At 36.6% G+C, this 17,774-nt stretch overlaps 1 protein-coding gene across 7 annotated transcripts in view; it reads right to left on the minus strand.

The window, feature by feature from the left end:
* Positions 1–17,774, minus strand: part of PRKD1 (protein kinase D1) — a 351,369-nt gene that overhangs the window by 145,391 nt on the left and 188,204 nt on the right. For 6 of the 7 annotated variants that reach the window (XR_943493.3, NM_002742.3, NM_001330069.2 and 3 more), the window contains exon 2: positions 3,667–3,805. Coding sequence is in view for 5 of the 7 variants with exons in the window: in NM_002742.3 (NP_002733.2) it covers positions 3,667–3,805 (139 nt within the window). In the remaining 2 variants the exon portion in view is untranslated. Of the gene's footprint in view, positions 1–2,600; positions 2,677–3,666; positions 3,806–17,774 lie in introns of those variants that run through there. The other variant, XM_047431590.1, reaches the window with a different exon arrangement.

Here is a 17,774-nt window from a genome sequence, read left to right on the forward strand (position 1 = left end):
GCGTTTAAATGTACTAGCTCACACTAGTCATGTTTTTCAAAAAGAAACGGAGGGAGAAAAAAATCAGCAAATTAGCCAGAAGCAGCTTGGTTAGTTTTCACTCCCAAAGCAGTTAAAAGATGATGAAAAGTCTGAGCAGAAAATGATATAAGCAAAGAAAAAAAAAAATCTTGATGTTGTCTGAAGAAATAAAATTAACCTTGAAATTTTTCCCTATTTTTTCTCTCATTTTTACTGCAGTCCTGTGTCAGAAAATGTTCCTGCTGGTAGATTGTTAGTTAAATATAAAAACAACCAGGTTATGTTTACATCAAACTACAGAGTAAAATTTAATTTGTGATAAGGAAAAAGAAAGTTCAGATAAATAAAACTTAACAGTAAAACTACAGGCTTCAGAAGGAAAATGCAGCACCCTTCGTGTCCCCTTCAGGGACTAGGTCAGGAAGGAGTATGTAATCCAAGCTCTCCTGCACATATGGCCTGAAGTGTCCTTGCTGCTATCACTCGCCTTGCCACAAATTATAACATGGTACAATCCTACTCACTTGATAGGCCCTGATTTCTCTTATGTGGGCCAAAAGAATGCATAGCAAGAAGACTTGAAGTTCAGTTTATTTCTGAGGATATATCTAGAAATAATATTTTACAACAAATCGATATTTTTACAAAATGGTATATATGTAGTAACTTTATTCTCATAGCCAGTAGTTAATAAGTGAACTCATACATATTTATTGAGAACCTCATATCTATGGATAACAAAAGGATGAGGTGGGGGAAAGATTGCTGAACAATAGTTAGGCCAGGTGAAAGTTGGATCTGCATTTAGTCAGGTAGGCTGGGAACTGTGTGTCCTATGTGGCTCGGGAAAAGAATGGCAAAAATGGGTGGTAAAGTAATTCAGATTACTAACAGGTATTGCAGGCCCTGCCCGGGTATACAAAGTCATTGAAACTCCATCAAAGTGTGGTGTAAGACATGAATATAATAAGTCGCATGCTATGTGGAGAAAAAAGAAATAGAAAAATATGGTCAAAAATGGTAGGGAGTTAGTGATTAAAATACAGTGAAAAAGTCAGGGAACAGGAATGTGCACTTGGTAGAGATGGACAAGAAGGACAGGCTAGAGTAGGAGAAGAGGAGTGCTACCAAGTGGAGATTTTGAAGCTGGAGCCTTGTCTTATTGGTGAAGTCAGGAATGGCATTATGGGTGACTGATAATAAAAATAAATAACAAGGAATCTGAAGAATCATAAATATGTATGTTAACAAAACCAAGGATGAATGAGTACTTAAAATGGAAAGTAAAATTAGGAATCTGACAACAATTATTGCCATACTTAAATGGAAATGAGTCTTCAAGGAAAATAAATCACTTCACTGCAAAGAAGGTGACATAAATAATTAAATGGCAATGGGAAATCAGAAGAGGGCCATATCACTCAACTCCTCAACTAAGAGTGGAGGAAAATAAGAGGCAAAGCCTCTTGGAAATGGGGCATCACCTTCAGGAGAGTCAGGATGCAAGGAAGACATAAAGACCGGGAAAAAGAAAGGAACATCAGGCATTTGATCACAATAGACTCAGGGCCTAAAAAGGCTAAGGGAAAAGAGATAAGAGATATGGGTAAGAAACAGGGTTGTAATACAAAGGGGTGGGATGGTTTAAAAAACTATTGTAAACATAAACATTTATTGAGCAAATCACAATGCTAAGCAATAGAGTGGGAGAGGAGCTGGGAGAGTACTGCTGTCGATGGTTATAGGTAAGCGCAGGAGATCTAAACATAATTGAGTGTGCGTGTGTGTGTGTGTGTGTGTGTGTAATTGATATACTAACTGAACAATTTAAAGGGTCAATGACTTTGGGAAAATGGCACTATGTCGTTCAAAACTAGAATTAAACTGTTAGAGAATAGCTCCTTTTAAATTCCAGCAAAATAGCTGGTAAGAGTAAGGGAGCCCTTCTGGAGTCTGGTGCTGGGAAAGCAGGTAAGGAAATGGGCTGCTCTTAAATGCCCTCTCAACAACTGTGGCCAGGAAAACAGGAGACATGGAACATAAAGGGTGGACAGCAGGGGAGGTAGGGCATACGCACAATGAAGTTCTCAATTTGCAAAGATGGGAGAGGAAAAGCAGAATGCTGTTCTCATGCAGCAAGGGAATTCTAGAGGGCTACATCAGGTCAACACGAGGGAAGAGCAGGTCTGGCTCATTAATGCTGGGATAACATGCAAATAAGCAGTCCTCTCCTACATAAATACACCCACACACAGGTTGCATTCAATCTGTCTGCTACTACTCTAAAGTGCTTGATAACAAAAGTAAAATGGAAAGAATAATACATTATATTTAGAAATGCAATTTTAAAAGTCCTCATATATTTCTGGACATTGACACAAGGCAAAAGGACTCATAAAACATTACATTATTTACAAAGCAGCCTGGCTGTGAGTTTAATATGAATTATGGCAAGAACTGATCCAGTGCATGATTTCCCTGAATAATTAATTTAGTGTTCAGAAACAGGAAACTTAGAAAACAACATGTCTAGTCCGTAGTTTTGAGAGGTCAGGTGCAGGCAACAGAAAAATAATTACCTTTATCTAGCAAAAAAGTTGTTTTATAGGATCCATCTACACAATGAAGTTGTGGCAATCCCAGGATCTCACACAACTGTAGGCAACCAATAAAGATAAAAAAGAGAACTAGACTGAATCAAAGCAAAGTGAATAAAACAAAGATAAATTGAATTATAATCAGTGCATCCAAGTACTGGGCTCTGAACAAGTTGAGGAACTTGAGGAAATAAACTTGAGACTCTGTAATGCTGCTGGACTTCTTTTATTCAAAGAGATGGTAAACAAAGAAGGCATGAGAGGAGAAAAGAGCAAGGCAATCCAAGTTTCTCAATAATTATTCTCTTTTTAACAAAAATAAACAATAAAAATTTGGATACATTATCATTGCATTGAGTATCATTGTAAGGATCTCCACTCTAGCTGTTGTTCTCTGGTGCTTTTTAAAAAGGTTAAATACATTCTTTTTTTTCTGTTTGGTTAGGCACAGTCCTATTACTAACTGCTAAATCCTAAACAAGAAATAAAAAATGTGAGCAGAGGCAAATGTAGCCATTTCTCAGGGACTGAGTTAACTAGCGTCACATGGCATGACCTGACCTTCTCTAACTCCTGGGCTCTGGCTTCCTCCTTGGTCTTGGCTTACCTCATAGCTACTGGACTTTTGACCTTAGTAAGTCAAAGGCTTCTTAGCCCTGGTGCTATTTCTTGGCTTCCACACATTCTGTACAATTGCAGCCCTGACAGCTAATTTAGCTTCACTGTTGGTGAGTTTCTTGTTTGCTTTTGCTGCTGTCCAAATGATTCAAGGTGCTGAATGACGCCATCTGTATGTTGCTAGAGGCTGAGAGGGGGCTGGGAGGAAGCCTTAAGTCAAGAGACGTGATTGGAGCAGTACTGGGTGTGGACACAGCCAATTAAAGGGAAACCTTTTGTTTCCCTTTTTCATGTGGACAGAGCTCCAACATCTTCTCTTGGAGCTGAGTTTGAGATATGCTTTTTATGTTTCCTTAAAAACATATGCCCAAGAATTCTTCAAATACAACTTCTAATCTACGGATAAAGAAAAGGTATAAAAGTATACTACCTGACAAGACCACTTCAATAAGATCGCCTTCCTGGATATCACTGGCCGCTTTCACCAGCTGAAGGATGTTTTCAGAGGTAGGGTCATGGCGAAAAAGCAGGATCTTATCATACATTCCGTAGAAACCACATTCAGGGAACTGCAAATACAAATACCATGAGAGTGTAAATGTCAAAATCCTTCCAAATATTTTGTTTTAAATATTTCAGGGCACAAATACAAGCTAATTAGAAAAGTTCAAAGTATCTAGATCATTAAAATATTTTAAAATTAAAAAATAAATAAATGGTAGAGTTGATATTGGGAAGACTCCAAATCAGAAGGAAAGAAATCACATAGATCACAGGGGCAGTAATGGTCAAGTGGTTTTCTAATTAGACAGCAAGAAAACAAGAGAATATGAGATAAGATTTAAATAAGTTCTGGCAGTAAAGTGGTTAAGAAATATAGGTGGGAAGAGGTGTGCACTTTCAGATGATTTACAGCAATCCAGTAACATAAAAAATGGGAGTCGCTTTATTCCAATTCCATTACACATAATAATGGCAATTTGTTTGCAAAAAACTGGGTCTGTCTGTTTTGGCATATTCAAAAATAAGAGATGCCTCAATAAATCTAAACATATTCTGTATGTGAGTAGTAGCATTATCTAGATCCTTTGATCAGGAGATCAGGGGAGGCAATCCACCTCTCCCTTCTGCTGCTGCCCCTACTGCATTCCATGTGGCTTTCATGCAATCTGTCAATCCACAATCTCATGAGCAGTGTAAGAAAAGGTCCATCTGCACAGCATGGAGGGTTTCTGTTAAAGCAAACAACCTAGGCTAATTTATTATATGAAAAGGGCCCTTTTCTTGTAATGACTTTTTCACATAATTATTAAAGAATGCTATTTCTGCCATAAATTGACATTTGTAATGTAGTGGGAAAAGATGCAAACTCAGGGAAAAAGAAAATTATCTTTCTTCATCCTGGAACTGATGACAGATCTGACACTTATGTCAATACAGGTGGACCTTAAGAAGCTACTGTCGGGGAGAAATGTCCAGAATCTAATACCTGCTGGAGATAAAAACAATACATTATAAACCTCTCTTTCTTTTTCTTAGTCTTAGAATTAGGGGCTAAATTCACATGAATCATTTTGTGTATGAACTAAAAATAAATATAATGAGAACATCTTATTGCTCTTAGTGCTGATGACCAGGCTTAAAACTATTTCTGCATGTCACTTAGTAAAGTTAACTTCCTTAAAAAAAAAAAACACAACAGCTGAAATGATGTCACTGCTTCCAGTGTGCTAACTAAAAGAAAAAAAAAACTTAGTTCACTTTATTTTTTTTAGAAATATGTCCAATAGTCCTTTGGGTATATACCCAGTAATGGGATGGCTGGGTCAAATGGTATTTCTAGTTCTAGATCCCTGAGGAATCGCCACACTGACTTCCACAATGGTTGAACTAGTTTACAGTCCCACCAACAGTGTAAAAGTGCTCCTGTTTCTCCACATCCTCTCCAGCAGCTGTTGTTTCCTGACTTTTTAATGATTGCCATTCTAACTGGTGTGTAATGATATCTCATTGTGGTTTTGATTTGCATTTCTCTGATGGCCAGTGATGGTGAGCATTTTTTCATGTGTCTTTTGGCTGCATAAATGTCTTCTTATGAGAAGCATCTGTTCATGTCCTTTGCCCACTTTTTGATGGGGTTGTTTTTTTCTTGTAAATTTGTTTGAGTTCATTGTATATTCCGGATATTAGCCCTTTGTCAGATGAGTAGGTTGCGAAAATCTTCTCCCATTTTGTGGGTTGCCTGTTCACTCTGATGGTAGTTTCTTTTGCTGTGCAGAAGCTCTTTAGTTAATTAGATCCCATTTGTCAATTTTGGCTTTTGTTGCCATTGCTTTTGGTGTTTTAGACATGAAGTCCTTGCCCGTGCCTATGTCCTGAATGGTAATGCCTAGGTTTTCTTCTAGGGTTTTTATGGTTTTAGGTCTAACGTTTAAGTCTTTAATCCATCTTGAATTGATTTTTGTATAAGGTGTAAGGAAGGGATCCAGTTTCAGCTTTCTACATATGGCTAGCCAGTTTTCCCAGCACCATTTATTAAATAGGGAATCCTTTCCCCATTGCTTGTTTTTCTCAGGTTTGTCAAAGATCAGATAGTTGTAGGTATGCGGCATTATTTCTGAGGGCTCTGTTCTGGCAAAGACTTGGAACCAACCCAAATGTCCAACAATGATAGACTGGATTAAGACAATGTGGCACATATACACCATGGAATACTATGCAGCCATAAAAAATGATGAGTTCATGTCCTTTGTAGGGACATGGATGAAATTGGAAATCATCATTCTCAGTAAACTATCGCAAGAACAAAAAACCAAACACCGCATATTCTCACTCATAGGTGGGAATTGAACAATGAGAATACATGGACACAGGAAGGGGAACATCACACTCTGGGGACTGTTGTGGGGTGGGGCGAGGGGGGAGGGATAGCATTGGGAGATATACCTAATGCTAGATGACGAGTTAGTGGGTGCAGCGCACCAGCATGTCACATGTATACATATGTAACTAACCTTCATATTGTGCACATGTACCCTAAAACTTAAAGTATAATAATAAAAAAAAGAAATATCTCCAATAATACTATTACAGCACAAGGAAACAAAGGGAAAATAAAAATAACATTTTCTTCACTTTAAAAAACAATGGATACCTCATGCACTATTTTAAAAATCAACTTCATTGAAGTATAAATTACATGAAATAAATTGATATAAGTGGATAAATCTATGAGTCTTGACAAATATAACTACCCATATAACCAAAATCACAATCAAGCCATGAGACATTTTCATCAACCCCAAAAGTTTTATTGCAATCTATGTAACCAACAATGTTAACCTCAGGCACAGATCTACTTTCTGTCACCCTAGTTTACCTTGTCTGACATAGAATTTCATGTAAATGAAATCATAAAATATGTTATATGTACTCTTTTCTGGCTGGCTTTTTTGGCTTATTATAAAGTTTTTGAGATTCATTCATACATACATTTGGGTTCTTTCACCTTTTATTACTTATTAGTATTTCATTAAATGGATCTAGCATAATTGTTTATCAGTTCACCCACAAATGGACATTGTAGTCTTTTTTTCCAGTTTGCAGCTATTACAAATAAAAATGCAATGAACATTATGTACAAGTGTTTCAGTGGGTACATGCTTCCGTTTCTTGTGGGTAAATACCCAGAAGCAGCATTGTTGGGTCATATGATAAATTCATGTTTGAGCTGTATGTCTATCCTTAATAAACTTACCACCACATTATATTTATTATTGTAGCTTTATCCTAAGCCTGAAATTCAGGTAGTGAGAGCCTTCCAATGTCTTTTCCCTTTCAAGATTGTTTTGGATATAGGACCATTGAATTTCCATATACATTTTAGAAATGCTTTGTTGATTTCTACAAAAAGTTGTGAATTTATAAAAAGCCCACTCTATCATGTATTTCTTTATAGACCATGCTTTTGCTAATAAATCCTTGCATAACCAAATTTTCTCCTATATTTTATTCTACAAATCGCATTGTTTAAAATTTTACATTTGAGTCTATGATCTACTTCAAGGTAAGTTTTGAATAGGGCAAAATATATGGATTGAGATTCATTTTTTGGCATATTCTGGAAGATTTGTACAGACTTGGTATTATATCTTCCTTAAATGTTTGGTAGAATTCTCTGCTGAAGCCATGTTAAGCCCAGATTTTCCTTTGCTGGAGGACTTAAAACTTCATATTCAATATCTGTATAGTATACTTTAGACTTCAATTTCCTCTTAAGTGACTTTTGGCAGTTTGTTTATTTTCAGAAAGGTATCCATTTCATTCAAGTTGTCAAATTTCTTGGCATAAAGTTATTCATGTGATTCCCTTACCACCCTTTTAATGACTATCCAGTTTGTAGTGATGTCTCTTCATTAATTTCTTATATCCTTTCTTTTTTGTTTGGTCTGGTAACAAACTTGTCAATTTTATCAATTTCTCTTGTAATGAACCAGCAGTTGTTTCATGGAATTTCTCTATTATTTTTCTATACTTAGTTTCATGGATTTCTTTTCCTATCTTTATTATTTCCATTCTTTAACTTAACTTTAATTTGTTCTTTTCTTCCTAGATTCTTATAGTGGAAGCTTGTATTATTGATTTGAGACATTTGAGACTTAGTTTAATATGACCATTTAATGCAATAAATACTTCAGCAATATTTCACAAATTTTGAAAAAGCTGTGTCTTTATTTTCTTTCAATTCAAAATATTTTCTATCATACCATATATAAAAACAAACTCAAAACAGATTACAGACATAAAGATAAGACCTAAAACTATAAAATTACTAGAAGATGTGGAGACAACTCCATGACATTGGTATGGGCAACGATTTTTTTATATGACCCCAAAAGCACAAACAAAAAAAAGCAAATATAGACAAACGTTAAGACATCAAACTAAAAAGCCTCTGCACAGCAAAGGAAACAATCAATAGAGTGAAGAGACCACCTGTGGAACAACTCAATAGCAAGAAAACAAATAATCCAATTAAGAAATAGGCAAAGGATCTGAATAGACATGTCTCAAAAGAAGATGTACTAATGGCCAATAGGTATATGAAAAATAGACATTTCTCAAAAGAAGACATATAAATGGACAACACGTATATGAAAAATTGCTCAACATCACCATTCAGAGAAGTGCAAATTAAAAACACAATGAGATATTACCTCAACCCTGTCAAAATGGCTACTATAAAAACAAAATGAACAGATAACAAGTATTGATGAAAATATGGAGAAAAGAGAACCCTGTACACTCTGGGGAATGCAAATAGGTACAGCCACTATAAAAACAGTATGGAGGTTCTTCAAAAAACTAAAAATATAACTACCATATGATCCAGCAATCTGACTTCTGGGTATCCATAAGGAATATCCGGAGGAATTGAAGTGAGGATCTCAAAGAGAAAACTGCATTCCCATGTTCACTGCAGCATTATTCACAATAGCCAAGATATGAAATCAACCTTAGTGTCCATCAATGAATAAATATATATAGAAAATGTGGTGTATTGATACAGAATGGAATACCACTCAACCTTAGAAAGAAATATTAACATTCCGGACATGATTAAACCTGGAGAATAATACGTTAAGTGAAATAAGCCAGGCACATAAAAACATCTACCATATGTGGAATCTAAAAAACCTGAATGCATAAAAGCAGAGAGTAGAACAGTGGTTACTGGGGCTAAGCGGTGGGTGAGAAATGGTCAGTGATGTTGGAAAAAGGATATAAAATTTAAGTTAGGAGGAATAAGTTCAAGATATCTATTGTATAATGAGGTGACTATAGATAATAATATTATATTGTATTTTTGAAAGTCACTAAGATAATAGAAAAATTTAAGTGTACTTACCACAAAAAAAAGGTAAGTAAGTGAGGTATGCATATGTTAACTACCTTGATGTAGCCATTCCACAATGTATACATAGTTCAAAACATGATGTGGTATATGGTAAATATACATAAGTTTTGTCAACTAAAACCATTAATTAATTTTAAATATATGTAGTCTAAATTCCCTTGTGAATTTCTCTTTAACCCATGGGTTATTCAGAAGAGTGTTGTGAAATTTCCAAATACTCAGAGATTTTTCCAGATAACTTTATGTTCTTAATTCCTCATTTAATTCTGCTAAGGTCCAAATCCTACTTTGCATAAATTTAACACTTTTACATTTCCTAAGACGTTTTATGGCCCAGGAGGTCAAACTTGGTGAATATTCTATGTGCATCTGAAAATAATGTGTATTCTGCTGTTGTTGGGTGGCAAGTTCTATAAATATCCGTTAGATTAAGTTGACTGATAGTTTTTCAGATTTTCTATTTGCTTAATAATTTTCTGTTTGTTCTATAAATTAATGAGAAAGAAATATTGATGTCTTCACATATACTTGTGGATTTTTTTCTCTTTTTCCTTTCAATTCTATTATTTGCTTTAAGTATTCTGAAGCTCTGCTGTTAGGTGTATAAACAATGAAACTTGGTACATTTTCTTGAAGAATTTATCCGTTTCATAATATGTGGTGTCCCTCTTTATATCTGGCATTATTTCTTGTCCTTCATGAACATATAACCATTTTAAACTTCTTAGAATTAATGTTTCCATGGTACTATGTTGTCATTCTTTAAATCCCTGTGTCTTTATAAAGTTGTTGTACACACGTATATATGACTCCCTCATCTTTTTGTGCAGTCTGACAATCTCTACTTTTTTTTTTTTTTTTTTTTTTTTGAGACCGAATCTCACTCTGGCGCCCAGGCTGGATTGCAATGGTACGATCTTGGCTTATGGCAACCTCCAACTCCTGGGTTCAAGTGATTCTCCTGCCTCTGCCTGCCGAGTAGTTGGGATGGCAGACGTACACAGTACACCCAGCTAATTTTTGTATTTTTAGTAGAGATGGGGTTTCTCCATGTTGGCCAGGCTGGTCTCGAACTCCTGACCTCAGGTGATCCACTCACCTTGGCCTCCCAAAGTGCTGGGATTACAGGCGTGAGTCACTGCGCTGGACCAACAATCCTTACCTTTTAAGTTGTTTCTATCATTTATATTTTAATGTATATGCAATTAAGGATACTAGCTTACCAATTTTTTTCTGTTTGTTACATCTGTTTTTTTGTTACTTTTTTTCCTTTTCTATATTATTTGATATTATTTGTTGATACTTCTTTTTATCTTCTCTCCTGGTTTATTTGTATAATTATCCTATTTCACACACAATGACCTTAAAGCTGTATATTTCCATTTCTCCTCTTCCTGCCTTTATGCTATTTTTCTATGTCTTTTACATACACAAATGTTAGAAAAACCAAAATAGAATGGTATTTTTTGCTTTAAATAATTACCTTTAAAATAATGTTTAAAATAAAAAAGTATCTAATTTTACTATTTCTGTCACTCTTCATGGATTTGTATAGAGCCAAGGTTTCACATGGTATCACTTTCTTCCATCTGATGAATTTTCTTTAGTATTTCATAAAAGCTGGATGGCAAACACTTTTCTCAGATTTTCTCTCTGAAAGTTTTTATCTCATCTTTTTTTGGAAAGCTATTTTTGTTGTATATAGAGTTGTATGTTAATGTTTTTAGCTCTTTAAAATGTAATTCCCTTGTCTCCTGCTTTGAATTATTTCTGATGAGAAGTATGTGTTATCTGTTCCCCTGTATGCAATGTTTTTTCTTCCCTAATTATTTTACAGTTTTAATCTTCATCAATGACTTTAAACAATTTGATAGTGATGTGCCTTGAAGTGTTTTTTTTTTTTTTCAGTTTATCTTGGTTGAGGTTCACTGTGCTTTGAACTATAGATTTATACATTTCATGACATTTAGAAAATTTTCACCATTGTTTTTGTCTTTAGGGGAGGTTCAGTTTGGATAATTTCCATTGCTATGAGTTCACTGATATTTTCTTTTCTTTTTTTATTTTTTTAATTTTTATTTATTTATTTTTTTTTTTTGAGATGGAGTCTCGCTCTGCCGCCCAGGCTGGAGTGCAGTGGCGCAATCTCGGCTCACTGCAAGCTCCGCCTCCCAGGTTCAAGCCATTCTCCTGCCTCAGCCTTCCAAGTAGCTGAGACTACAGGCGCCCGCCACCACACCTGGCTAATTTTTTGTATTTTTAGTACAGACGGGTTTTCACCGTGTTAGCCAGGATGATCTCCATCTCCTGGCCTCGTGATCCACCCACCTCGGCCTCCAAGTGCTGGGATTACAGGAGTGAGCTACCGTGCCCGGCCAGTTCACTGATATTTTCTACTGTGATGTCTAATCTGCCATTTAAATATATGCTATTAGTCGGTTCTCATGCTGCTATAAAGAAATACCTGAGGCTGGTTAATTTCTAAAGAAAAGAGGTTTAATTGACTCAGTTCAGCATGGCTTGGGAGGCCTCAGGAAACTTACAATCACGGTAAAGGTGAAGGGGAAGGCAAGACACCATCTTCACAAGGCTGCAGGAAGGAGAATTGCTGAGTGAAGGGAAGAACCTTTATAAAATCATTAGATCTCATAAGAACTCACTATCATGAGAATAGCATGGGAGAAACTGCCTCCATGATTAAATTACCTCCACCAGATAATCCCCTTGACACATGGGGATTATGGGGATTACAATTCAAGATGAGATTTGGTTGGGGACACAAAGCCTAACCATATATACCCAGTAAACTTTTCATATAAATATTATATTTTTCAGTTCTAAAAGCTGTGTTTGGTTATTTTATATGTGTTCCATTTCTCTCCTAAGTATGTTCATGTTTTCATTTAAATCCTTGATTTATTTTTCCATCAAGTCTATCACCTTTACCATTTCTGGTCTGTTTCCATTAACTGTTCACATTCTGGTTTTGAGTCATACTTTCCTGCCTTTTTTTTTTTTTTTTTTTTTTTTTTTTTTTTGAGTCGGAGTCTAGCTCTGTCACTCAGGCTGGAGTGCAATGGCGCGATCTTGGCTCACTGCAACCTCCGCCTCCCAGGTTCAAGCAATTCTCCTGCCTCAGCCTCCCGAGTAGCTGGGATTACAGGTGCCCACCACACGCCTGGCTAATTTTTGTATTTTTAGTAGAGACGGGGTTTCACCATATTGGCCAGGCTGGTCTCAAACTCCTGACCTCATGATCCACCCGCCTTGGCCTCCCAAAGTGCTGGTATTACGGGTGTGAGCCACTGCGCCCAGCCTCCTGCTTTTTTATATGTGTAAATTAGATGCCAGATATTATAAATTAATATGAGCAGTTGGACTTTGTTGCCTTTTTTTAATGGATATTGACATTTGTCTTGGCAGAACATTAAGTTAATTGCAGATCAGTTTTATCCTTTCAAGGCCTATTTTTAAGCTTTGTTAGGACAGCTCTATAGCAGTCTTTGTTCTGGGGATAGTTCATTCCTAGTACTAACGATTCTTTGAACATCTCTAAATATTCTCCCAAGTGTTTGGTGAACTTTCTCCTATTTGCTTGATAGAAACTCGAATGTCTCTCAGCCCTATGAGAGCCCTAGGAAGTGGTCATTTCACAGCTTACCAACAACTGCTCTTTCTCCTGCTTTAGAGTTCTACCCTATGCATACACAGATTTGTATTCAGTCAAATACTAAACCAGATCCTTACACAGATTTCTGGAGCTCTTTCTTTGTATAAGTCCAACCTTTCCATTATTGTTCCCCCAAAATCCTGTTGGCTTGGCCTCCCTGAGCTCTTATCTCTGTCTTCTTTAAGCAGCAAGACAATTAGGCTCTGCTTGGGTTCTCCCTTTCTATACTACACTCTGGTCCTGCTGCTAGGCAGGAAGCTCAGGTGTTTGTAGTACTTACCTTGTTTGTTTCCCTTTTCTGAGGGATCACGTTACTGCATGGTGTGTTGGCCAATGTCTAAAACAGTATTTTATAAATTTTGTATTGTTTTCCTATTTGTTTAGAGCAAGAGGGCATGTCTCAAACCAGTTACTCCTCATGCACTTTTAAAATAGAGAATAGTAATATTGTCTACTTAATATTTTGACTATTTAATTCTATGTAAACTGCATTTTACAAGAAAAGTGAAAGAAAAAGGTAATCTCCATAACTGGTAAGAGTGCATTTTTAGGATAAGCAATAAAATGAAATAAAAATACAAAATGTATGAATTATCATATAACTCTCAGGCTCCAGTTTGAGCTACACTGGGTGGAACTTTAATTAACAGTTATAAGGTTGTCCCTGATTAGAAAACAAATACTTATTAAAATGCAGGACTGTAATTAAGACACAGATCCTCTTTCCATATCCTTTCCTAAACCTTGGGTAGCTAATTCTGATGTAAAGAGTAGAGAAAAAATTCAAGGGATTTAGTGTTTGGGCTGGGGCGTGTATGAAAATAATAGCTGGAGAGAAAGATGAAACAGCAAACCATTTCCCTGAATAACAGCTCAACTTTATAAAGACTTCTAACTCATGTGTTGTCAATTTGCTTGTGTGATGCAAGAGTCAGGTGGGAAAACTCAAGAGGCTTAGGAGGCAAGGGTTCTACCAGCTCAGCACCATTCCAGTGCCGTCTGATGTCATTCACATGCCTCTTTCTTCAAGAACCCCTCTATATTTCATTTCTCTCTGTTTCTGCACTGCTGACATTTGAACCTCACATTTTGTGTGATGCCTCTTTGTAAAACGATGGTTAAAATGTAATAAATAATTTGGTGTTCGAGTAAGGCTTGAATGCCTCAAATCCTAATTGTTATTATGTTTCTTTATAAGGGTGGCTGAGAAGACATTAAAAAAATTAGGTAGAATAATACCAAAATATGCTGCACATATTAAAGCTATCATTTAAACACTATATTTTTCAATGAAGATAGTGTTATAAGTGATCATAAAGGTAATCTGCAATATCAAAATGACTAAAGTATGAATATTCTCTCTCCTATATCCATCTGTTTCATAGACATGGCTCTTTCCCTTCAAGCCATTCAGAAACAGGTTGTAGACCCCTACGAAGTAGGTCACACATGTGAACGTGGAGACCTAGCCTCTTAGGACAGTTGTCACGGTAGCAGAAGCTGAAGGTTTACATTTTTCTAGATTGTTCCTTTTATTACTGGATAAAAATATGCATATTGGTCTTCAACTGCTAAGAGAAAAATCCGTTTTATTGAACATAACATTCTGCCTAAATAGAAACTATATACAATAAAACTTAGCAAAATCGTACTTTAAAATGATGTCTGGAAGGCGAAAAGTGTACTGAAACAATGCCTGACAACTGAAAAGAGAAGATATTGGGGGAACACACTCAGAGAACAACATTCCCTAATTTGGTCATAATCATCTGTTTTTATGTGAAGGTGTGTGAGCTTTGAAATCTGAAAACCCTCATTAAACTAAACAGGCTTTCAGAAAGGCTCAGAGGCTTGTAAACTCAGCTGGAGCTTATTACAAGATCAGTTCTGTGTTTCTCAGAGGCTTTGTGGTCGTGAGTGCAAACATCTGAGATAAGTGATTTCAAGCTCTCTCCAAGTTTGAATCTAACAAAACTGGCCACTGTGAAAATATGGCCAACAATCCAGGCACTGGTCCTAAGCTCTTTAATTCTACCCTATGCTGGAAACCTTTATGCTGCTGTGTGTATCATTTGGCATTTTTGACCACAGAGCACAATTTACTGTTACATTTCACTATAAATTCATGGTTGGCCAGACAATGTGCTCCAGAGTAGAATAAATACATGTTTTAATGAGTAGCTGAAATGTGACCTGGCCAACGGGAAACCTAAGGAACAAAGGGTGCTTTTCCATAGTTGGGCCAATCACAAAAGGCAAGCAATACTAGAAACAAATTAATCCATGACTCAGTCAAGTGGAACAAAACGGAAAGAGAGACATGGCCCAATTAGGAAATGAAAATACTCGGCCGGGCGCGGTGGCTCACGCCTGTAATCCCAGCACTTTGGGAGGCCGAGGCGGGTGGATCATGAGGTCAGGAGATCGAGACCATCCTGGCTAACAAGGTGAAACCCCGTCTCTACTAAAAATACAAAAAATTAGCCGGGCGCGGTGGCGGGCGCCTGTAGTCCCAGCTACTGGGGAGGCTGAGGCAGGAGAATGGCGTGAACCCGGGAAGCGGAGCTTGCAGTGAGCCGAGATTGCGCCACTGCAGTCCGCAGTCCGGCCTGGGCGACAGAGCGAGACTCCGTCTCAAAAAAAAAAAAAAAAAAAAAAAAAAAAAAAAAATACTCTGCCAGTTTACTTTTGCTAAAAGGTGAGGATTCAATAAAAGTCCTGAAATTAAATTATTCTGGTCAATAATGGAATACATCAGGCAGTTGAATATTGCAACCTTCTCATTAAATATGATTCTCAAGTCATTTTCCAAGAACTCTTCCTTTCCACAATAATTAGTGACATGACTGCACCCCCTTAATGAGCAAAGAAATTTAAAAGGTACTTTCACTTTCTAATATAGCCAAAACACAACCTAAGTGTTGTGTCCCAGGAGTAGGTGGATGATAAGGACACATCGTGTGATCAAGTGTTCTAACAAGAATGCCTAAAAAATTGAGTGATAATGTCTCTTAGCTCCCTTGGTGGAGTGGTTCTAGCATTCAGCTGTAAGGGACAGTCCAAAGTTGTTCTGAAAGCGGTAGATCCTGAGGTCTACTGGATCATTTGAGAGAACCAAGACAGCAATCATAAACTTGTATTATTAACTTCTGCCCAGGAAATAAAACCATCCCCTTTTTAATCACCCTTACAATTTTTAAAAAATCATCTAACACCAGACTATAGAGATTTAAGTATATCAAGGAAAAGACAACAAATACTTATTGAACTGGGTGATTATCACGTATGTAGCAATATAGTTGTAACAACAAAAAATGTATGGGGTGGTTTAAGCCCACCAATAGCATTAACACTAGAGTTCCATTTAGAAACCACATTATAAAGTATAAATGAAAGGAAGAAAAGAGAAAGTGAATAATCCAGTATTATTTGGAGACATATTTCTGAAATTTCTTCAAGTTTGGGTACAGGCTTTTATTTAGTGATTTTATATCCTCAAAAGGAGGAACATGAAAAAGAATTGCACACTGTGACCACATAGCTATGTGTCTAGTTTCTGAATGTAATCTTAAGAAACAGAAACCAGAAAAATAAAAAAAGACTTTCCTTTTCCCTCCCTTTCTTTCACCTTTCTCCCTCCCTCCTTCACTTATGCCAATTCCCAACCACCACCACTCCCTGCCAAAGTAGGCAGAAAATGAATGATGTTCTATCATACAATAATTAAAAACCACCATCGAAGATAGGGCTTTGCTATCTCTCCTAGTGTCAACTTACACTTTAGATTCTTGGTTGAATTACTGAGGTCTCTGTCCAGAAAATCTGATTTGTGAAGATAAATCTGTAATACCTATTTTCATAAAGTATTACTTAAAATCTTTTACCTTTTTTTATTTTTTAACCCATCTTACTTTGTTATTTTCTGAGCCACGGGCATGCTGTTCAAATGCAGATAACTCAGAAAAATCACACACCTTGTAATGCTCCTTCTGTAGTTCTTTGTTTCACACTAGCACCTGCAATCACGTAACCTTCTGCTCCACAAGCCCAATGCTTCTTTCTTTCTTTCCTTCCTTCCTTCCTTCCTTCTTTCTTTCTCTCTCTCTTTCTTTCTCTCTGTCTCTCTCTCTTTCTTTTTTCTTTTTTTTTTTTTGGAGACAGAGTCTCACTCTGTTGCCCAAGCTGGAGTGCAGTGATGCCGCAATCTTGGCTCAGTGCAACTTCCACTTCCCAGGTTGAAGTGAGTGATTCTTCTGCCTCAGCCTCTGGTGTAGCTGGTATTATAGGTGTGTGCCACCATGCCTGACTACTTTTTGTATTTTTAGTAGAGACAGGGTTTCACCATGTTGGCCAGGCTGATCTTAAACTCCTTGCTTCAAGTGATCCTCCAGCTTTGGCCTCCCAAAGTGCTGGGAGTACAGGCATGAGCCACTGTGTGGCCCCAATGCTTCTTTTGTAAAGGAATGCCTAACACCAGGTGTCTACCAACTTCAGAAATCTTCAAGGTCCAAATTTAGAAACACAAAAGTCACTCCGGTTAGTCTTCTTCTCTACACTGTATTGACAAAATAACTTCCTTTTCTCATTCAAGACAAGACTTTAATTTACTCCACTCTGTTTTTCTAAAGGCAGGGCTAGAATCTGACCCATAAGCTATCTTCTGCTTAGACCTCTCTTTTTTTTTAGCCACTCTCCTTTCTATTGAGTTCAAAATCTGATTGTTTAAAAAACGGTTTTCCTTCATAATTTTAAATTTGTACCTTAACTTTATCCCATCTATTTGAATTACAGCAAAAATAAAATAAAATAAATGGGAAAAGATATCTAAGACAAAAAAGAATATATCTAATTAAAGAAAAGTCTGCCTGGAATCTTTTGAAATTAAAGTTTTGAATGTGAAATGGCAGATTTTGGCTATGAGATTCTAAAGTTTGTTGTCCTACAAGATATA

The sequence above is a fragment of the Homo sapiens genome, chromosome 14 (assembly GCF_000001405.40).
Source record: "Homo sapiens chromosome 14, GRCh38.p14 Primary Assembly".
Taxonomy (NCBI): Eukaryota; Metazoa; Chordata; class Mammalia; order Primates; family Hominidae; genus Homo; species Homo sapiens.